The sequence below is a fragment of the Homo sapiens genome, chromosome 9, assembly GCF_000001405.40.
Source record: "Homo sapiens chromosome 9, GRCh38.p14 Primary Assembly".
Classification (NCBI taxonomy): domain Eukaryota; kingdom Metazoa; phylum Chordata; class Mammalia; order Primates; family Hominidae; genus Homo; species Homo sapiens.
In genome coordinates this window covers 3,300,668-3,324,171 of record NC_000009.12, presented here as the reverse complement: position 1 = coordinate 3,324,171, position 23,504 = coordinate 3,300,668, and the positions used below count along the sequence as shown (strand labels likewise).

Below are 23,504 nucleotides of genomic sequence, written 5' to 3'. Positions count from 1 at the left end.
CACTTATTTTGGCAGGAACATGTATCACCATTATGATCTTAGCTTTTTCTGTTTTCCTGTGTCCCTTTTTCCCTAGGCCAACTCAGTCCCTGAAATGAAACTCCTCAGACAGATTACCATGAACCGTCTGTTTCCTACACTAAATCATAAATTGACTGAAGGTTCTGGGCCTCATTTTCAAAGCATTTAATAAAATGGGACTTTGAATGACTTGTAGTCTCCATCACTTCATCTGTATTCCATTCAGCTGTCAGTCAGTTCCACACTGCTCCAGCCTCGAAGCTGATAAGATCTAGAGGCAGTAATTTTACCATTAGGGCTGTAAGACATTCCACTCCTAGAAATCTTGATAAACTAGCAGGTTAAGACAAAGAGAATCACAGCATCCTTCATTCTCTCCTGAGCATAGCCAGTGAATTCCTCTGAATTTTAAAGCAAAATATAATGAATTATTTTATTTTTTAGCTACTTCATATTTGAAACAGCATTTCAGAACACAGGTGTATGGGTAACATGCCAGAAAAAGCTAGATTCTATGTCATACAAGATCTAGATAAGCAAAGTTTAATGATGCTCATAAATTCTACTTATAAATATTAAAGTAACCTGTACCTCAGGCAACCTCTTATATATCTTTTGCTTGATCCTTCCTTAGATTTACAAGTCAAGTTTCACGTTAAGTTACTTGTTTGAAACTAACATAATTTTTAAAGAAAAAAACTCCACCAACTTAATGCTTCACTTATAAAAATTAGATAATCCAGATAAAATATGAAATGCATTGCTACAGATTAAAATATTAATACATTGTAGTCTAAGAGTGACATATGAGTCAATATTAGACTCAGAAAGTTTCAATACTGCCTCTTCTACTGGCCCATGTGTTTAATTTAAAGGGGAAAAATACGACACAGTGCCTATGACCAATTGTCAGTTCTCTGAGAAAGAATTTCTCCATGTTCCTGTGCATATTAGTTCATCCCCCAAAGCATGTGATTTGATTACCACTTTCTCAGTACATGTAACTCCAGTTGTTGTCTTTATTTGCCACAGAATTATCTGGTTTCCTTTAAACTCTAATTATGGCATTTGATTGTAACTATTGGTGGCAGTAAATTTCATGACATAGGAGTTTTGTAATCTACGGACTTAGAAATAATTTTACACATACACTTAAAATTTACTAAGTGTAAGTTTGAGTGACTTTTTCATCTGTCTTATAGGAAAGGAAGATGTGATGTTTAATTGTGCTTTCAAAATTACAGGAAAGATGCAGTTAGGCAAAAGAAAGGAAATACAAATTCAAAGGGAGGTAAAGAGGTCAGAACTTGTAGATGATGTGATTGTGTACTTGATAAAAATCATAGAGAATGAAATTAAAAACTATAACAACTAATAAGACATTTTAGTAAGGTGGCAGTACAATTTTTTTTTCTTTCGAGATGGAGTCTCACTCTGTCACCCAGGCTGGAGTGCAGTGGCACAATCTCAGCTCACTGTAACCTCCACCTCCTGGGTTCAAGCGATTCTCCTATCTCAGCCTCCCTAGTAACTGGGATTACAGGTACCTGCCACCAAACCCAGCTAATCTTTTGTATTTTTAGTGGAGACAGGGTTTCATCATGTTGGCTGGGTTGGTCTTGAACTCCTGACCTCAAGTGATCCACCTGCCTCGGCCTCCCAAAGTGCTGGGATTACAGGCCTGAGCCACCGCACCCAGCCACAAAATTAATACACAAATAAATCAATAGCTTTTCTAGATAGTTAGAAAATATAATGGAAACAAAGATCTCATTTATAATAAAAACAAAAAATGCCTGGCAACAAACTAATAATAAGTGTGCAAGATCCAATTGCTGAATAAAAAACACCTAAAGTTCGCCAGGGATACAAAAGGAAACTTGAATAACTGGAAAGGCATACCATATTCTTGGATAAGAAATTTCAATATTAAACATTTAACCTCCCTAAGTTAACATAAAATGTTTCAACATAATCTCAATCATAATACCAATAGTTTTTTTGACAAGAAAGGCTGTTCATGTAAATAAACTTGCAAGAATTTATAGAAAATTTTGTAAAAAGAAAAATAATGAGGGATGGGGTGGAGGGAAACAACCTATCAGATATTAAAATGTATATAAAATTATAATAATTAAAACAATTATCTAAGCACATGAATAGACTAGTAAATGAAAGACTAGAGACCAAGTAGGCCAAATGCATGCAGGAATATTGTATATATTAAAGGAGGCATTGCCTGTGAGTTGAGAAGTCATGGATTATCAGTAAATGATATTTGGAACAACTGAATATTTATATATTTATAAAAGAAAATTAGATTGGTTCATATATTAGTCTTTATATCAAAATTAATTTCACTTGGATAGAAAAGTGTGTTTTATCATTAGAGTGGGAAGCATAATATAAAATCCAGAAGCTATAAGAAAAATATTGATAAACTCAGTTATGTAAAGGTGAAAACATCCTGCTGAGAAAACCACAATAAACAAAGGCAATGGTGAAACAACAAACTGGCATAAAGTTTTGAGGTATTATACTCAAAGGACTAATTTTTTAAATTTATAGACCACTCTTACAAATTCATCAGAAAAAATAACAAAAACAGAGCAAGTACAAGAACAGGCAGTCCAATGAAAAGGAAGTGAAAAATAAACTACAAAGAAATACCACCTTTCATCCCATACAAGCAATGCGGAAGAGGTTGGTAAGCCTTGCCAAGTGTGCAAGGAAATAGGTACTCTCAATCATGATTGATGGGAATCTAAATTGGCACAGAATTGGAGAGCAATGTGGAAATTTTTTATCAAAATTAAAAATACACATATCCTCTGACTCAGTCAGTGTGCTTCCGGGAATTTACCATACTGATAATACTGTTATGTATATGAAATGCTACATAAAAACTATATTTGTTGTAGACTTATTTGTAATAGAAAAAGATTGGGGTCGGGGGCGGTGGCTCACGTGTGTAATCCCAGCAGTTTGGGAGCCTGAGGCGGGTGGATCACCTGAGGTCAGGAGTTCGAGACCAGCCTGACCAACATGGTGAAAACCCCATCTCCACTAAAAATAGAAAAATTAGCTGGGTTTGGTGGCACATGCCTGTAATCTCAGCTACTTGGGAGGCTGAGGCAGGAGAATCGCTTTGAACCTAGGAGGTGGAGTTTGCAGTGGGCCAAGATCACGCCATTGTACTCCAGCCTAGGCAACAGAGACTCTGTCTCAAAAAAGAAAAAGACTGGAAACTGCCTTATCCATCAGCAGGGAAATATGCAAATAAACGTTAGTACTTTTATCTCTTAAGTGGAATTACATGTAGCCCCTAGATAATGAGGCTATATATATATATATATATATATATATATATATATATATATATGCTATGTAGCATGCATTATATGTATATATAGGCACATATGTGTGTGTATGTATGTATATATATGCACACACACATATGTACACATTTATATGAAAAAAGTCTCCATGTTGAGCGAAAAAGCAGAGTAGTGTGTGTGTGTGTAAATAGAAACACATATTACTATGTGCTTATATAAGATATCCTAAAGTTTTTTTTTTTGTTTTTTTTTATGGAGGGGGTGGGACAGTCTTGCTGTGTCACCTAGGCTGGAACGCGGTGGTTTGATCTCGGCTCACTGCAACCTCTGACTCCCAGGTTCAAGTGATTCTCCTGCCTCATCCTCCCAAGTAGCTGAGTACAGGCATGCGCCACCACACCCGGCTAGCTTTTGTAATTTTTGGTAGACATGGGGTTTCCCTGTTTTGGCCAGGCTGGTCTCAAACTCCTGGCCTCAAGTGATCCGCCTGCCTCAGCTTCCCAAAGTGCTGGGACTACAGGCGTGAGCCACCACGCCCAGCCAATCCTAAAGATGTCTTTAGGAAGGATACATGAAGAATAAAAGGTGGGAGGCATGTGAATATATTATCTATTAAAAAAAAGAAGTCACTTGTTATTTTTAAAAATTTTGGACAAGCTCTTAATGATTATACATTATATCTATTTGGTCATATTCCCCAAATGCATGTAGATAAAGCAAATCCTTTATGTGCCCAGTATTAATATTGTCTGTGAGGTGTCACAGTTCACATTAAACCCTGATCCTAGGTTTCAGATAAAGTCCTCATTTATTAGACTGTTGAAAGTTTAGACAGTGAAAACTGGCATTTAATTCATTTGAAATTTTTAGAGCCATTCTTACTGTTCAACATTTTGGAATGAAAGTTGATGTTTGTATTTGTATTTATGTATTGAGAATCTGAGTTTTTTTTTTTTTTTCGGTCACTGACTTTCTCAAACATTTATTGAGGTATTACTGTTGACCAGGCACTGTGCTTCTGTGAATTTGAAGACTTAACAGTATGGGCTAATGGAGCTAGTTCCTGCACTGAAAGGTACCTAATCCTGTAAGGCAAAAATACAAATTCACAAATAGCCTCCAGACTTCTTTTTAGGGTTAGTTTCAACTACTTTCTTGCCACATTATTTTTTAAATCACAAATGTTCATATGTTATCAATTGATTAATTTTAGATTTATCAAAATTGTGCTTACCTTCTGATAATATTGCTTATACAAGTTCAAAATTGCCTAAAGATTGGGCAGGATTGGATAGCAAGAGAGTGAAAGAGAATCATGAATGCAAATAATACTTAAGATTGCAGAATCACCCTTTAATTAGAGTTAACTGGCACCATTGTGGGAATGTCCGTTACCTACCTATTTATATTCCCTTAAGTAGTCATTGCAGTCTGACTCTGGCAATGAAAAAAAAAAAGATCATGTTTTAGTGAAACTGTTTTCAAACTTGAGTGTGCATCCTCTGGAGCATTGATTAAAACACATCTCTGGATCTCACCCCAATGACTTTCGATTCAGTCAGTGTGGGCAAGGGCCCCTTGCATTTCCAACAAGTGCCCAGGGGATACTGAAAATGCTGGTCCAAGACCACACTTTAAAAGCCTGTTTTAGTGATTACGGAGACTAACTACAAAGTGAAAATGTTCTTATACTCAGAATAAACTGCAAAATGCAGAGACCATTTGAAAATGTAAGATGGAGTTTAAATCCTATTATTTAATTCTAACCCAGCAAATTTCTGAGGGGTAATTCCAACTCCCAAGTGCTTTTGTACTTGATGTCTCAGAAACTAGTTTTATCGTCACAGACTCATAGGCTTCTAGTGAGGGTGGGGGAATCTGGGCTCCACAGAATAATCAAAGAAGTCCAAAAAGACAATCTTGATTTCAACCCAGCATCCCAAAATAAGCCAAATGTTCTCAGAACACATTCAATTTATAAGGTTTCTTAGGCAACCGTTTTTCTCCCCGCTATGAAAATGTTAAGAATAACTTCAGGTTACAACTTTGGTACAAAATTGCCAAAATTTCAGGTTGAAAGCATAATAACTTAATTTTTTTCTCTAGACGTCATAAAATTATCAGTGAATAGAAAGGAAAAGATTTCATGTATTTGAACATTTATAAAACCTTAGAAAAGATTTTGTCTTTAGCTACTTTCTGGTTAAAGAGGACATGAAAAGCCAAGCTGGCTAGATTTGCTTTCTGGGCTTTTTTTTTTTTTTAATTTTAATTTTAATTTTTTAATTATTATTTTACTTTAATTTCTAGGGTACATGTGCACAACGTACATGTTTCTTACATATGTATACATGTGCCATGTTGGTGTGCTGCACCCGTTAACTCGTCATTTACATTAGGTATATCTCCTAATGCTATCCCTCCCCGCTCCCTCCACCCCACAGCAGTGCCCGGAGTGTGATGTTCCCCTTCCTGTGTCCATGTGTTCTCATTGTTCAGTTCCCACCTATGAGTGAGAACATGTGGTGTTTGGATTTCTGTCCTTGCACTAGTTTGCTCAGAATGATGGTTTCTAGCTTCATCCATGTCTCTACAAAGGACATGAACTCATCCTTTTTTATGGTTGCATAGTATTCCATGGTGTATATGTGCCACATTTTCTTAATCCAGTCTATCACTGATGGACATTTGGGTTGGTTCCAAGACTTTGCTATTGTGAATAGTGCTGCAGTAAACATACGTGTGCATGTGTCTTTATAGCAGCATGATTTATACTCCTTTGGGTACGTACCCAGTAATGGGATGGCTGGGTCAAATGGTATTTCTAGTTCTAGATCCCTGAGGAATCGCCACACTGTCTTTCACAATGGTTAAACTAGCTTACAGTCCCACCAACAGTGTAAAAGTGTTCCTATTTCTCCACATCCTCTCCAGCACCTGTTGTTTCCTGACTTTTTAATGATCGCCATTCTAACTGGTGTGAGATGGTTATCTCATTGTGGTTATGATTTGCATTTCTCTGATGGCCAGTGATGATGAGCATTTTTTCATGTGTCTATTGGCTGCATAAATGTCTTCTTTTGAGAAGTGTCTGTTCATATCCTTTGCCCACTTTTTGATGGGGTTGTTTGATTTTGTCTTGTAAATTTGTTTTAAGTTCTTTGTAGATTCTGGATATTAGCCCTTTGTCAGATGGGTAGATTGTAAAAATTTTCTCCCATTCTGTAGGTTGTCTGTTCACTCTGATGGTAGTTTCTTTTGCTGTGCAGAAGCTCTTTAGTTTTATTAGAACCCATTTGTCAATTTTGGCTTTTGTTGCCATTGCTTTTGGTGTTTTAGTCATGAAGTCCTTGCCCATGCCTATGTCCTGAATGGTATTGCCTAGGTTTTCTTCTAGGGCTTTTACAGTTTTAGGTCTAACATTTAAGTCTTTAATCCATCTTGAATTAATTTTTGCATAAGGTGTAAGGAAGAGATCCAGTTTCAGCTTTCTACATGTGGCTAGCCAGTTTTCCCAGCACCATTTATTAAATAGGGAATCCTTTCCCCATTTCTTGCTTTTGTCAAATTTGTCAAAGATCAGATGGTTATAGATGTGTGGTATTATTTCTGAGGGCTCTATTCTGTTCCATTGGTCTATATCTCTGTTTTGGTTCCAGTACCATGCTGTTTTGGTTACTGTAGCCTTGTAGTATAGTTTGAAGTCAGGTAGCATGATGCCTCCAGCTTTGTTCTTTTGGCTTAGGATTGTCTGGGCAATGCGGGCTCTTTTTTGGTTCCATATGAACTTTAAAGTAGTTTTTTCCAATTCTGTGAAGAAAGTCAGTAGTAGTTTGATGGGGATGGCATTGAATCTATAAATTACCTTGGGCAGTATGGCCATTTTCACGATATTGATTCTTCCTATCCATGGTTATGGAATATTCTTCCATTTATTTGTGTCTTCTTTTATTTCGTTGAGCAGTAGTTTGTAGTTCTCCTTGAAGAGGTCCTTCACATCCCTTATAAGTTGGATTCCTAGGTATTTTATTCTCTTTGATGCAATTGTGAATGGGAGTTCATTCATGATTTGGCTCTCTGTCATTGGTGTATAGGAATGCTTGTGATTTTTGCACATTGATTTTGTAGCCTGAGACTTTGCTGAAGTTGCTTATCAGCTTAAGGAGATTTTGGGCTGAGACAATGGGGTTTTCTAAATATACAATCATGTCATCTGCAAACAGGGACAATTTGACTTCCTCTTTTCCTAATTGAATACTCTTTATTTCTTTCTCTTGCCTGATTGCCATGGCCAGAACTTCCAACACTATGTTGAATAGGAGCGGTGAGAGAGGGTATCCCTGTCTTGTGCCAGTTTTCAAAGGGAATGATTCCAGTTTTTGCCCATTCAGTATGATATTCGTTGTGGGTTTGTCATAAATAGCTCTTATTATTTTGAGATACGTCCCATCAATACCTAGTTTATTGAGATTTTTTAGCATGAAGGGCCATTGAATTTTGTCAAAGGCGTTTTCTGCATCTATTGAGATAATCATATGGTTTTTGTCTTTGGTTCTTTTTATATGCTGGATTACGTTTATTGATTTGCATATGTTGAACCAGCCTTGCATCCCAGGGATGAAGCCAACTTGATAGTGGTAGATAGGGTTTTAGATGTACTGCTGGATTCAGTTTGCCAATATTTTATTGAGGATTTTTGCATCGATGTTCATCAGCGATATTGATCTAAAATTCTTTTTTTTTATTGTGTCCCTGCCAGCCTTTGGTATCAGGATGATGTTGGCCTCATAAAATGAATTAGGGAGGATTCCCTCTTTTTCTATTGATTGGAATAGTTTCAGAAGGAATGGTACCAGCTCCTCTTTGTACCTCTAGTAGAATTCGGCTGTGACTCTGTCTGGTCCTGGACTTTTTTTGGTTGGTAGGCTATTAGTTATTGCCTCAATTTCGGAACCTGTTATTGGTCTATTCAGGGATTTAACTTCTTCCTGATTTAGTCTTGGGAGGGTGTATGTGTCCAGGAATTTATCCATTTCTTCTAGATTTTCTAGTTTATTTGCATAGTGGTGTTTATAGTATTTTCTGATGGTAGTTTGTATTTCTATGAGATCGGTGGTGATATCCCCTTTATCATTTTTTATTGCATCTATCTGATTCTTGTCTCTTTTCTTCTTTATTAGTCTTGCTAGCAGTCTATCAATTTTGTTGATCTTTTCAAAAAGCCAGCTCCTGGATTCATTGATTTTTTGAAGGGTTTTTTTGTGTGTCTATCTCCTTCAGTTCTGCTCTGATCTTAGTTATTTCTTGCCTTCTGCTAGCTTTTGAATGTGTTTGTTCTTGCTTCTCTAGTTCTTTTAATTGTGATGTTAGGGTGTCAATTTTAGATCTTTCCTGCTTTCTCTTGTGGGCATTTAGTGCTATAAATTTCTCTCTACACACTGCTTTAAATGTGTCCTAGAGGTTCTGGTATGTTGTGTCTTTGTTCTCATTGGTTTCAAAGAATACCTTTATTTCTGCCTTCATTTCGTATGTACCCAGTAGTCATTCAGGAGCAGGTTGTTCAGTTTCCATGTAGTTGAGCAGTTTTGAGTGAGTTTCTTAATCCTGAGTTCTAGTTTGATTGCACTGTGGTCTGAGAGACAGTTTGTTATAATTTCTGTTCTTTTACATTTGCTGAGGAGTGCTTTACTTCCAACTATGTGGTCAATTTTGGAATAAGTGTGATGTGATGCTGAGAAGAATGTATATTCTGTTGATTTGGGGTGGAGAGTTCTGTAGATGTCTATTAGGTCTGCTTGGTGCAGAGCTGAGTTCAATTCCTGGATATCCTTGTTAACTTTCTGTCTCGTTGATCTGTCTAATGTTGACAGTGGGGTGCTAAAGTCTCCCATTATTATTGTGTGGATGTCTAAGTCTCTTTGTAGGTCTCTAAGGACTTGCTTTATGAATCTGGGTGCTCCTATTTTGGGTGCATATATATTTAGGATAGTTAGCCCTTCTTGTTGAATTGATCTCTTTACCATTATGTAATGGCCCTGTTTGTCTCTTTTGGTCTTTGTGGTTTAAAGTCTGTTTTATCAGAGACTAGAATTGCAACCCCTGCTTTTTTTTTTGTTTTCCATTTGCTTGGTAGATCTTCCTTCATCCCTTTATTTTGAGCCTATGTGTGTCTCTGTACATGAGATGGTTCTCCTGAATACAGCACGCTGATGGGTCTTGAGTCTTTATCCAATTTGCCAGTCTGTGTCTTTTAACTGGGGCATTTGGCCCATTTACATTTAAGGTTAATATAGTTATGTGTGAATTTGATCCTGTCATTATGATGTTAGCTGGTTATTTTGCTCGTTAGTTGATGCAGTTTCTTCCTAGCATCGATGGTCTTTACAATCTGGCATGTTTTTGCAGTGGCTGGTACCAGTTATTTGTTTCCATGTTCAGTGCTTCCTTCAGCAGCTCTTGTAAGGCAGGCCTGGTGGTGACAAAGTCTCTCAGCATTTGCTTGTCTGTAATGGATTTTTTTTCTCTTTCACTTATGAAGCTTAGTTTGGCTGGATATGAAATTCTGGTTTGAAAATTCTTTTCTTTAAGAATGTTAAATATTGGCCCCCACTGTCTTCTGGCTTGTAGAGTTTCTGCCAAGAGATCCGCTGTTAGTCTGATGGGCTTCCCTTTGTGGGTAACCCGACCTTTCTCTCTGGCTGCCCTTAATATTTTTTCCTTTGTTTCAACTTTGGTGAATCTGACAATTATGTGTCTTGGAGTTGTTCTTCTCGAGGAGTATCTTTGTGGCGTTCTCTGTATTTCCTGAATTTGAATGTTGGCCTGCCTCGTTCAATTGGGGAAGTTCTCCTGGATAATATCCGAAGAGTGCTTTCCAACTTGGTTCCATTCTCCCCATCACTTTCAGGTACACCAATCAGACGTAGATTTGCTCTTTTCACATAGTCCCATATTTCTTGGAGGCTTTGTTCGTTTCTTTTTACTCTGTTTTTTCTAAACTTCTCTTCTCGCTTCACTTCATTCATTTGATCTTCAGTCACTGATACCCTTTCTTCCACTTAATCAAATCGGCTACTGAAGCTTGTGCATCCTTCACGTAGTTCTCATGCCATGGTTTTCAGCTCCATCAGGTCATTTAAGGATTTCTCTAGACTGTTTATTCTAGTTAGCCATTCGTCTAATCTTTTTTCAAGGTTTTTAGCTTCTTTGTGATGGGTTCGAACATCCTCCTTTAGCTCAGAGAAGTTTGTTATTGCCGATCGTCTGAAGTCTTCTTCTCTCAACTCGTCAAAATTATTCTCCATCCAGCTTTGTTCCGTTGCTGGCGGGGAGCTGCGTTCCTTTGGAGGAGAAGAAGCACTTTGATTTTTAGAATTTTCAGCTTTTCTGCTCTGGTTTCTCCCCATCTTTGTGGTTTTATCTACCTTTGGTCTTTGTTGATGGTGACTTACAGATGGAGTTTTGGTGTGGACGTCCTTTCTGTTTGTTAGTTTTCCTTCTAACAGTCAGGACCCTCAGCTGCAGGTCTGTTGGAGTTTGCTGGAGGTCCATTCCAGACCCTGTTTGTTTGGGTATCACCAGTGGAGTCTGCAGAACAGCAAATATTGCAGAACGGCAGATGTTGCTGCCTGATTGTTCCTCTGGAAGCTTCGTCTCAGAGGAGCACCTGGCTGTATGAGGTGTCAGTCGGCCCCTACTGGGAAGTGTCTCTCAGTTACGCTACTTGGTGGTCAGGGACCCACTTGAGGAGGCAATCTGTCCGTTCTTAGATCTTAAATTCTGTGCTGGGAGAACCACTACTCTCTTCAAAGCTGTCAGACAGGGACATTTAAGTCTGCAGAAGTTTCTGCTGCCTTTTGTTCAGCTATGCCCTGCCCACAGAAGTGGAGTCTACAGAGGCAGGCAGGCCTCCTTGATCTGCGGTGGGCTCCACCAAGTTGGAGCTTCCAGGCCGCTTTGTTTACCTACTCAAACCTAAGCAATGGCGGACGCCCCTCTCCCAGCCTCACTGCCACCTTGCAGTTCAATCTCAGACTGGTGTGCTAGCAGTGAGCGAGGCTCCATGGGCGTGGGACCCCCTGAGCCAGGCATGAGATATAATCTCCTGGTGTGCTGTTTGCTCAGTTGGAAATGCAGAAATCACCCGTCTTCTGCGTTGCTCACAATGGGAGCTGCAGACTGGAGCTGTTCCTATTCGGCCATCTTGGAACCTCAATCCCCCTGCTTTTTTTTTTTTTTTAATTGAGGATTAAAAGAACAGTTTATCCCGAATCTCTCAGTTAAGCTACTTCTTGACATTGCTGTGGAAGTAATGTATTTGCATATTGTTTGAATATACAGCTTTTAACAGTACATAGCTGGAACCTTAGCTTGATTGATGGTGTTTCTGTATATATCTGCTGGGTCTGCAGAGCTCAAGGAACACTCTGGAGATCCTTCGAAGAAGGTTTCCATTGACTAGATGGGAACTGATACTGTTTCAGCTGCTTATTACAGGGTATTTGAAGTTTTAAAGCCACAAACTACAATGAGAAATACCTTTACATTGTGGCCCAATACTCACTCATATGTACATACATATATTCATGAGTGCACATCTACATACAAACATGTGACTATGTATATACATGTACATGTATACATATGACTGAAACTAAAGTTTCATGAAGCAATACTTATCCATACTGTGTGCAGTTAACTCTGGTTATTTTCTACTCTATTCAGTTAGGTTTTTAGAAATGCTGGTCAGTACCTACATTATTAATTCTGTAACCCATTAGTTGCACCTTACATTCTGAAAAACACTGCTTTGGGCAAATGAAACAGGAGGTTAGAGCATTTACAATACATGTATGAAAGGCCTGGGGACAGAGTCTCCATTGTAGAGGTTTGTTTTGTTTGGCATTTCTTTTTTGGGGGAGTAGGGGGGTGGGCAGAGTCTTGCTCTGTTGCCCAGGCTGGCTTGCAGTGGTGCAATCTTGGCTCACTGGAACCTCTGCCTCCCAGATTCAAGCGATTGTCCTGCCTCAGCCTCCCGAGTAGCTGGGATAACAGGCGCCCACCCACACCCAGCTAATTTTTTATATTTTTAGTAGAGATGAGGTTTTGCCATGTTGGCCAGGCTGGTCTTGAACTCCTAACCTCAGGTGATCCACCTGTCTTGGCCTCCCAAAGTGCTGGGATTACAGGTGAGAGCCACCACGCCCGGTCTTGTTTAGCATTTCTAACAGGTACCCAAATGATTTTGATACTGCTGGTTCAGGACCACATTTTGAACAACCGCAATTTTAGTGATTATAGAGACTAAATGCAAAAGGGAAGTGTTCTTTCTTTTGTTGTTCCTGGTTGAATGGCTTCCTATAGGATGTACCCTCCTCTTCACACACACCAGGAGGCTGTCATTTCACACAGGTGTGAGTGGTGGCTACATGCTGATGCCAGCCATCACAATTCCCTTTTCTAAACATAAGTCTCCAAGTAGAAATGTTCTGTCTTACCTGATCTCAAGATGCAAACCAGGTAGAAATGTTTTTGTCTTACCTGATTTCAAATACAAACAAAATTTAAAGTCCTGAAGATCAGAAGAGAAATTACCCAGAAAGAAATTCCTGGTTTTAAGTGTATCCTCTTCATTAAGTTTCTCTAAAAAATTTACAGTTTTCACAGGAAAACAGAAATGCTATGTCTCTGAGAAAGTACTCACTGATGATGTTAACAGAGTAACTTGTATTAACAAGAAAATGCAATTGTTATACATTAGGTAACTGTTTTTATAATTAAAATTTAACTATCTAGTTAAAACTTTTTATTGCCTAGTAACTTCATCATTTTACATCATTTTTGAGTAACGTTTATCGATCATATTTAAATTTTTCCAGTTAGAAAGTAAATTGTTAACAGTAAATCATTTAGCAAATTTTGATTTTATAAGCCACTCACTCCTCAGAAGATAACTTCATTACAACAATTTGAAATATTTCCACTTTGTTTATATTCATTTTATATTTGTATATGATGGCAATGATGTTGAATTTAAGCATGATAAATCTTGGATTTCAATTTCATAGTTAATACCCAAGAAAGTTCTACACATCTCAAGAAAATCCATCAATCCCACATAGTCTCAGGTTTCTAATCTGTTAAAAAGGAGATAATATTCCTTACCTTTACTATTTTACAAAGTTGTTGTGAAGATAAAGTGAGAATTAATATAGAAACCCTTTATAATTCATAAAGCATTGTACTATTCCATTTTCAAATCACTGTAACAGTTCTAGAAAAGAAAGTTTCTACCATGAAACCAATTTTAATTACAGTGATAGTTGAATATATCAATATTGACCTTTACTCTTTTAACAAAAGATTAAAAAGCCATTTCAGAGTCGAGAGAACATGCCTTGACCTATAAAGACAATAAATAAGATGATATAATTGTTCTTTTTCTTCCTGCCTTATTAGCATATAAGGGAATGACAGGTTAATATTTACATTAAGAGAGAGTTCTAATTGTCCGTATATATGATATTCTGTTTGGGACATTGCATAGATGTGTATGTAACCAACATGTCCAGGGGAGCCTCTTTTGGTTCCATGTAAATCATACAAAAGACTCAACACCTCTTCCCATTTTGCTGCATTTCAAACTGAGGTTTACCTTCTTGGCATTATCAACTGCCCCTAAATGATCCCTGTGCTCCAGCCAGTCTCGATTACTTGTACTAGAAGCATCTGCAAGTGGCATAGGTTTTACTGAAGATTTTGCAGGGGAAAGCACTGTTCAGGATCACACCCTCTAAAAGACGGTCACACAAAGCCTCTTTTGTACCACCTTGTTCTCCCCACTCTGTCCTTTTATTCTGCCAGTGATCCTCCACCTTCAGTCTTTCCAGGTCTGGGATCATTCCGTCTCCTCTAAATCTCAGAATCTCTCAATGCTCCAGTGAACACTTAAACCTGAGAGCAACTCTGCAAAACAAAGGGCCATCCTATGAGAAGGACTCTCCTTTAGAAGGCAATGGGGACTTAAAATAGGGAAAATGCATTCCCTTATAATAGGAAAAATATGTTCCCTTATAATAGGGAAAATGTGTTTTTTCTTTTCTATTACATTTTTCTTTTCACAATATGTATTGCCTTTGAAAAAATGTAATATTGATCCCTTCTTTGAACATGGGAAGAGAACACAAGCACAACGTTTATTGGACATCATTTGACCCTCTCCTCCCCACCCCCATTCTCTTTTCCCCCTGGCTTAGGTTAAGACTTTTCTCCAAAATCTCTTTTTTGATGCTGATTTTTGGACAGATGTGGCACAAGCCTCAGGGTGGCTCTTGAATGCTTGGAGACTGTCTGCCTGTCCTTCATTCCAACAAGGCAGCATTAGCATCTTGGTGATTGGGGAAGTTTTCAGCCTGAGTTTTAGGCCACGGATTTATTGCACTGTCTCTGTCTCCCAGGAGATAATAGGTGCCCTGTACCCTACAGGTTCTTCCTAGAAGGGTTGCTATATCTTTGTTGGAGCTCCACTAATCTTTGTGTTTTTTCTCCCTGGTGTGAAATACGACATCTCCCTTGCCCTTTCTGAATTCCTAATCCTAATTCCTGAGAAATCATGGAAGTTCCCTTCACTGCTGTAGTCTGTCACAAAATATGCATGCTTGGCATACTCAAAAGAAATGACGTTCTCTGTCGTACAGAATCTATGCATTTTTCTTGAATCTACCTGACAAGAACAAAGGCCAGGTGATTGTTTGTATGGTCATATTTTTATCACATTTGTGACCGTACTACTTTGTACAACGGAAGCAAATTAATTGGTATAGTCTCTAGCTCTCCAGGCTTAGTGTGGAGATCGTCTTGCCCAAATGAAGGCAACTCCTGGGATTGTGTCTTTCAAGGATTCAAAGTTTGGTTAGTGGAGCTGACTCACATATGTATTTGCTGTAATTCTCCAGTTCCTCTCTGGTGCTCCAAATATTTTCTCATAGCAACCCATACACCTTCCCCTCTTTCTTCACTCAATTGAACTCACTCACAGCAACAGTCATGGCATGGGGGTGGGTCATCTCTACTCTCTGATGAAATCTAATTTACTCTGAATAGGTTTCATTGTAAACCACTCTCTCAGCAAGTTGCTCCAACCAGGTTTGATTTTTCTATTTATGTTCCATAGCACTTTGTCGTATGACATCTTGCAAAGAGATCTTTTCATGTTCCTGCTAATATGTGGTCAGAAATCTGGCATGTAAATTGGCATGTAATGTGGAAGTTTATTATGTGAACTTTGACTCTTGAACCTTTGCCAGGCTTTGAGACCACATATAATTCCTAAGGCTGGGCAACTTTTCATCGTCTTTTATCACTTTTCTGCCCCAGAGACCAGCCACTCTGACATTTCAGCAGTCTGTCTAAAGGCAGTGCTGAATCCCCCTCTTCATCTTCTGAAAATATTTCTGGCTTCCAGTAGCACTGAATGGAGGGTTCCCATCTTTGGCTGAGAACCAACAATGGCTCACCCCACCATTTGATCTTACAGGAGTTGCCATAGAGTCTTATCTGATTGTGAGGCAGTAGTCCAGGACCTTCATGAACCAGTCTTAATTCCCAAGCACTATGTATCCTAACGTTAGATAATCATAGGGAGGAGGTGTACACTATTAGTGACTCAGTCCCAGGGTGATCATTTAATAGATTACATATAGGCAGTGTATCTTAGTTCAGAGAATTGATTTTTTAAATAATAAACAAGGATATTTTCATAGCCTAAAGCTTTGTAAGTTTAAAGAAAAAAATGGAGAATGTTTACTATCCCCATTTTTAATGGAAAAAATGAACTTTTTAATCTTAAAAGAAAATTGGTTCTGTACCATTAAGTAAAAAAAGGCAGAAGAAGATTTTAAAAAATTGAAAGAATCTAAGAGAAAGGAAAAAGAGAGGAAGGAGCAACGCTCAAGAAGAGAGATATCACTGAGGCTTTGCATTAGTCTAACTTAGGTTGTCACAAGGCCTCTTGTTAATGTGATTACAGTACTTTGCACTACAGTTGAAATTTCAATAACAAAATGATCTGTATTCTTAGAATAAAGACTATGCGGCAGAGAAATGAGCAGGAAAAACATTTTAGAATCTATTCATGTCAATGTGTTTGATATGTGTATTTGAAATGTTCTAATCACATAGTGATGAAATAAAGGCCATTGTGTTCATTTCAAGTAAAAATACAGCACTACCAAGCCTTCTCCCTTAGACTCCCACCTTTAGAGCTGTGATTTGAAAATATGTTTGTATTCATCCCTTTCATTCTCACTGCAGTGTTATCACCAGTTTCTCACCTCAATCCTGGACTATTATGATAGCTTCCAAGTTGGTTTTCCTGTCTAGATTCTCTCCTATCCTACATTATATCCCAAATTATTAATAATATATGAAGTGATGTCAGATTAATTCCCTTTCTCAAGACTTTTTAACAGTGGCCCACATCCTATATAATTGAACACTCCTAGCCACAAAGTTGCAGTCTGTATATATTTACCTATCCCTAAAGGAACCTTATCATTTGGCCAATTGTATTAGTTCATTTTCATGCTGCTGAAAAAGACATACACGAGACTGGGCAATTTACAAAGGAAAGCGGTTTAATGTATAGCTCACAGTTCATCGTGGCTGGGGAAGCCTCACAGTCATGGCAGAAGGCAAGAAGGAGCAAGTCACATCTTATGTGGATGGTGGCAGGCAAAAAGAGAGCTTGGGCAGAGAAACTCCCGTTTTTAAAACCATGAAATCTCATGAGATCGATTCATTATCAGGAAAACAGCACAGGAAAGACCCGCCCCCATTATGCAGTCATCTCCCACCAGGTCCCTCCCACAACACATGGGAATTATGGGAACTACAAGATTAGATTTGTGTGGGGACACAGACCCAAACCATATTACCAATCTTACCCTTCCTTGAACCTACATTGTGCAATCTTATCTTGTTTGCTTTGCCTAAAATGTTCACTAACCTGCCCTTATCAGAATGCCAGGTATTATTTGTCAATTTTCTTTTTTTTTTAATTATTATTATACTTTAAGTTTTAGGGTACATGTGCACAACCTGCAGGTTTGTTACATATGTATACATGTGCCATGTTGGTGTGCTGCACCCATTAATTCGTCATTTAGCATTAGGTATGTCTCCTAATGGTATCCCTCCCCCCTCCCCCCACCCCACAACAGTCCCCGGTGTGTGATGTTCCCCTTCCTGTGTCATATTTGTCAATTTTCTACTAAAGAACTGCCTTACCCATGCTCTGTCAAACTGTAACAGCAAGAAGTAATTTCCCTTCCTTCCAGTAATATTCAATTATTTAATTCATTCAGTTTGCCTTTAATCACTTACATATTTATGAAACTCTGCTAGTTTAACGAATTTCCCACTATCAGCAGCACACACCATAGTTGCACTGGGAGAGGAATAGTGTTGATTTTATTCTTATACTTAAAAAAAATCTTGAATTTGAATCAGTTTTAAATTCTAGCTGACTCGTAACCTAATCATTTTTGTTGCATGAAGCTATGGGGATATAATATCTTTGTTGAGGTTAGGAGCATTTCCTCAGATGATATATGAGAATATCACATTGAACACTTGGGCCAGTAATCTTTTGGATCAATGAGCCTACTTTTAAGCAAATTTTCCATCGGTGTTAACTGATCATCATTTCCTACCTTAAATATGACAGTCATGAGTATTGTGGTAAAACATCATTTAGTGTTACGTATATTTCTACCTAGCAGAATTTATAAATTTTTCCTAATGAATGAACTTAACTTTTTAAGTGATCCACAATAAACTGGAAGCATGTGATCTTACCAGTTCACTTTGGGATTAGTGTTTTAGGTGTCAAATGCTGATGTGTGCCATTTTTTTCTTGAGATTGGTAAACTCTCAGAAGGTTGAACAAATATTTACTTAAATATCTAACCTACAATAATGGAAAATTTAACAAATCAATTTAATCTTTGATGAGACTGGTAGAAACTTATCCTAATTCACTAACATTTTATCTAGCTAATTTGCACACTATTCCTCTGTCCCTCTACCCAACCTCTCCCCATATGCATAAAACTACCCCCTTGAAACTATGATAAACCCAAATCATGGGCTAATTCGTAGGAGTGACATTAGTAATCCATTTGGAATCATGCAACTAGTTAATCCTTCATATCTTTGTAATTTCAAAGGCTCATTATTACTCTTCTTCCCCATTTCTGCATTATTCCTCTTGCCTCTTCCTCACCCTCACTTTCCCACCGTTGTCATGATATATTCCTATGAATGATAGTGTCTTCCTTTACTGTTGTCCCAGAGCTTCTATTCAATCCACAAGCATTTATTGGGCACACTTTGCTTTCACCTATTTTAACCTTACTACTAGCATGGCCCCATTATACCTAGCAAAACCCTTCTCCTGGCTTTATCTGAAAATTAGCATTTTTCATACATCCCTACACTTTCCTCAAAACCTTAATGACATTGCTTTTTCCCTGATTCCCGCATACATTATCTACTTCCAACCTATTTTTTCAGCCTCACTCATACCACTCCCATATATACATGAAATGTATATTTATAGCTCATGCCCTACAAACTAGGTTTCTTGCCATTTCCCAAATATGGACACAGCCTGTGCTTTCTTGCCTCCTGGCTCTATTAAGTCGATTCTTCCTAGATTTCCCTTTTACCCCCTGAACACTTCCATCTTTTAATACATGGGTTTTGAATTCAGAGAGTCTGTAAACTAAGAAAATAAATGTGAATTTTGTAGGTGTTCTTATATATATTTTTTCCAAGTAGAGAGTTCACAGTTTTCATTACATCCTCAAAAGGGTTAAAGACTCCTCAAAAGTTAAAGACTACTACTCTTATTTTCTTCCACCTTTCTGAACTATGCTTGTATTTTTGTTACAAGTAGTCTTGTTTGGCATATTAGTCCGTTCTCATGCTGCTGATAAAGACATATCTGAGACTGGGTAATTTATAAAGAAAAAGAGGTTTAATGGACTCACAGTTCCATGTGTCTGGGGAGACCTCACAATCATGGCAGAAGGCAAAAGACTCATCTTACATGGCAGCAGGCAAGAGAGAATGAGAGCCAAGCAAAAGGGGAAACCCTTTATAAAGCCATCAGATCTCGTGAGACTTACTCACTACCACAAGAACAGTATTGGGGAAACCACCCCCATGATTCAGTTACCTCCCACTGGCTCCCTCCCACAACATGTTAGAATTGTGGGAGCTACAATTCAAGATGAGATTTGGGTGGGGACAGAGACATATAATTTGGTAATTATGCATTTATTCATATATATGACCATGTGTATACCCTGTCTCTCTTACTGGATTGTAATGTCTATTGGATTATGAAAAATTTTTGTAATCATGATCTTTTGCACACAACCTTATATATGACAGTCACACAGTTACTATGTACTTAAAAAAGAAAAGAAACTGTTTTTTAAAAAATGTAATCAGGGCTATGATCCTTTCATGAGATTGGAATTCCCTTCAATAAATTTTTAAAATGAATATAATAAATACATGTTAATTTTTTGTATGCTTCTCGGAAGTTCTTATCAGTGAGGTGGTAACTAAATGGCCTGGTTATCCCATTGGACTAATTAATAAGCCTTAAAGATTTCATGAGTATTTAGTATTTGGAAGCCCGTGGGTTTCCAAGTAGGTTCCAACATGCATGCTGAGGCTGGTGTCTTCCTTGTAGAAGAACTCAGTCTTTATTTCTTGCTTGTCCTATCATTCCATATTTCTTCCTTTCCATTCCCCGGGCTACACAAATTCGGCACAGGCCTAAGTCAGTTAGGCAGAAGATTCCTAAAGCCAAAAGAAATACCCCTTTTGTTATCTGTGTTACAAAGTGACACAAAGAAGAACCGAAATTCTGAAGGTCCAAGGCATTCTAGAATGTCAGTGTATCTGTTCCTGGGGAATCCATTTTCACCCACATATTTCCTTGCACCTTTCCAAAGCTCTTAAAAAACTGTCCAGAAATGAGAAGGCCATTTCCTAAAAGCCTGGCCTTCTAGGGAATCATCTGGAAATCTAGGACCACTATAAAATAACAGCTTCAATAACAGAAGCAGATCTCTGACTTTTTTTTTTTTCCCAGAAAAAGAAGTGCTGGTTTATCCAACTGAAAAGTGCTTATTAACAAACTGAGAGCATGGACTTCTCCTTTAGTGTTGCTCAGCAATTATGTATCTGGTAATTTACCTTTCATTAAAAATTATAATATCAAAAGTTACAGATCATTTTATTTATATTTACTAGACTGAAATCTTACCTCAAATTCTCTGCACTCAAACTTTAAAGAAAATATAGGTATAATGGCAAATTAGGGTTTTGAGCAAATTCTTCCTATAAGTGAATTGTAGTCATATGAATCCTTTGACTTGTTTTCTGCTCTGTTTTCTCTTTGAAAAAAAAGCACTTATTGATCATGTTTTAAGAGATGTTATACCAAAGTCCTTTATAGTTTCACAGTTTAACATTTTGGTAAAATGTTTGTTCATTCATTACATTTACATTACTCTTTCTGTAATATATCTCTTTTCATTTGTGCAGTATCACTATTTTCAAGTATAGTGGTAAACTGCATTAACATCCATTCTGGCAGAGAGAATGTTGTAGAAGCCTATGTTTCTAGAAGCCTGTGTTTCTTAGAAGAGAATGATTAAGAAGTTTACTTAATTTTGTTGTCTAAAAAAAGTTAACAGTAGGATAAATTGTATTACATCTTCCTATGAATTAATTTAATATCTATTTTAAGAATTTTTTTATGATTTCTTAACCTAACATACTCTTTTCAGTATTATGTTTTATTAACTCCAGGGAAGAATTAGCAACGTGGGAAAATAATGTAAAATAAAATTAAAGCTATTAACTTCTAAGTTGTTTAGAAGAAAATTAGATTTAATGTTGGTATAATTGATACTGAGTATTTTGTGTATAAAGTGTTTTACCATAAAGAAATTGGAAACTTGGGAGAAAATTAAGACTTTGCTATAGATATTACTGCATTATTTTTCTTTGGGAGGGGGCAGTATGTTAAAATTTGAAGGCATTATCAATTTCCATAGTCAAAGTATAAGAAAGTTAAATATGTTTTAAAGCTCTAAATATTTTTATAACTGCTTATACTGAATTGTTGATGTAATCAGACTGTTAAGAATAATGAAATCAATTTTCTCTCTTAAATTGCATGGTGTGATTTTTTTCTTTTGAATTTAGCTAATATTGTTAATATAGCTCAGTATCCAAATACATGGTGTTCAGTACCTGTTTTTAATGCAACATGCAATACTACCAGGAGTTGAAAGATAGATAACTTTAAATATGAGGTTATTAAGAGTGTATCACATTTATCACTAACACCTGGTACTTAATTAATAATCGTACATGGTATGCTGAGATTTCACAGATTAGAGCTGTTTCTGTGATTGTCCCTTCTCTTTGTTGTCTCTGAATTATTTTCTCTTCTTCATTCCATTTCTGCTGTCATTTCTAATATTTCTGCCTTAACACCACATCGTAAAATATAATGTAGGGACCATCATTTTACTTCTTCATATTTGTTCATACTGATGACCCCCTACTTCCATATTTTAATACAGGATTAATGGAGGGATGTATGGATTTAGTAACTTTTGGACATTAATGAAAGAATCTTTGTTCATTTGCATTAAAATATTAATGCATATTAAACTCAAAATCTGCGGTATGATTTTCCTTTCGTGAGAGAATAGCACTAATATTAAATACTCTTTAGGTGGGAGACGATTTAGAAAGAGAATAGTTACTATCCCATATCCTGAACTATGAAAGTCAAGAATGTTTATTCATAAGAAGAAAAATCCACCAGGGTCCCTGCTCTTCAGGTCTCCATTCTGATTATAATTATGGAATGTTCAAAAAAGGTTTACTTTGTGAATGGGCTTATTATTAGTGTGCATATTTTTATTTTGTTCTCTGGAGGGTGGGGAAGAAGGGGAGAAAACACATTAAGTGGCAACTGTTCATTAACGACCGTTGAGGAAGAAGTTGGACTTTAAAGAATCTATCAGAAATTCTCTGGTCAGCCTTTTATTACTATCTTGTCTTGAGCCCTTTTTTTAATGACATCTATTATCAGATTGAAATGGCGATTGAGACGCTGCAAAAGTCTGACGGTCTGTCCACTCACAGAAGCTCTCTTCTCAACAGCCATGTAAGTTGCCTCTTCTTCATGTACACTAATCTCTTGCTTGTTCTGCATGTGTTGCTTGCCTCTAAATGCTTGTTTTATTTATTTACTTATTTATTTTGCTTCTTAACCTTCCCTTCTCAGCCCCTTATGATCTCTGTGTCATTTAATGGCTATTTTGTACAGTGAAATATCCAAAAAATAGAGTCTCCAGTATAATTTATTAGGTTTCTGTACTCTTTGGGTACAGATATAATATTTTCGAGTTAGTAACAAGTTGCCATGTATTTGTACAAAGTAATAATAGTGATTTTCAATATTTAAAATGTTCCAGTTTGATATTTATTTACTATGAAGCAAATACTTGTAATCTGCATCTCTGTCAAACAGCCATGTCTACTTGCGTGACCAGTAATGTTCTTTAAGTAGAAAAAGGATGATTAATGTGAAATCCAATGATAAACTGTTTGAAAATGATTTGTTTACCAGTAAGACTATGTAAGGTGGGCAGTAAACAACCCCATAGTTGAATTCAGGTCCTAAGACCTAAAGAGAAGTAAAAGTGAACCAAAAGAAAAAGTGAGACTGTCTACAAGCCATAAATTGCTAATAATTGAGATAAAACTACCATTACTATGCCCTGAAGCTGTTTCCTGTTATCAGATGCAGATATCACTATGACACTGGTAAGTGTAAGAAGGGTGATGATAGTTTTGTGAAATTATAAACATTTTTATCAGCTGTTCTCATGTGGGAAACCAATGAAAATGCTGAATAAAAATTTGTTTTGTTAAGATGATTTCTGAATATATGGAAAAAAGTAAATAGACCCATGGTGTAAATTCATTTTAGATATATCTTCTGCTAACTTAACATTAGTGACATTTTAGTTTAGAATTTTC

The 23,504-nt window shown here is 37.1% G+C and overlaps 1 protein-coding gene across 31 annotated transcripts in view; it reads left to right on the top strand.

Moving 5' to 3' along the window:
- The window catches only part of RFX3 (regulatory factor X3), a 307,705-nt gene that overhangs the window by 201,830 nt on the left and 82,371 nt on the right, over nt 1-23,504 (top strand). For 25 of the 31 annotated variants that reach the window (NM_001282116.2, NM_001377999.1, XM_047423696.1 and 22 more), the window contains one exon: nt 22,552-22,626. The exons of the other annotated variants lie outside the window; for them this stretch is intronic. In NM_001282116.2, coding sequence (NP_001269045.1) covers nt 22,552-22,626 — 75 coding nt within the window. The remainder of the gene's footprint in view (nt 1-22,551; nt 22,627-23,504) is intronic. 31 annotated transcript variants of the gene reach the window in all.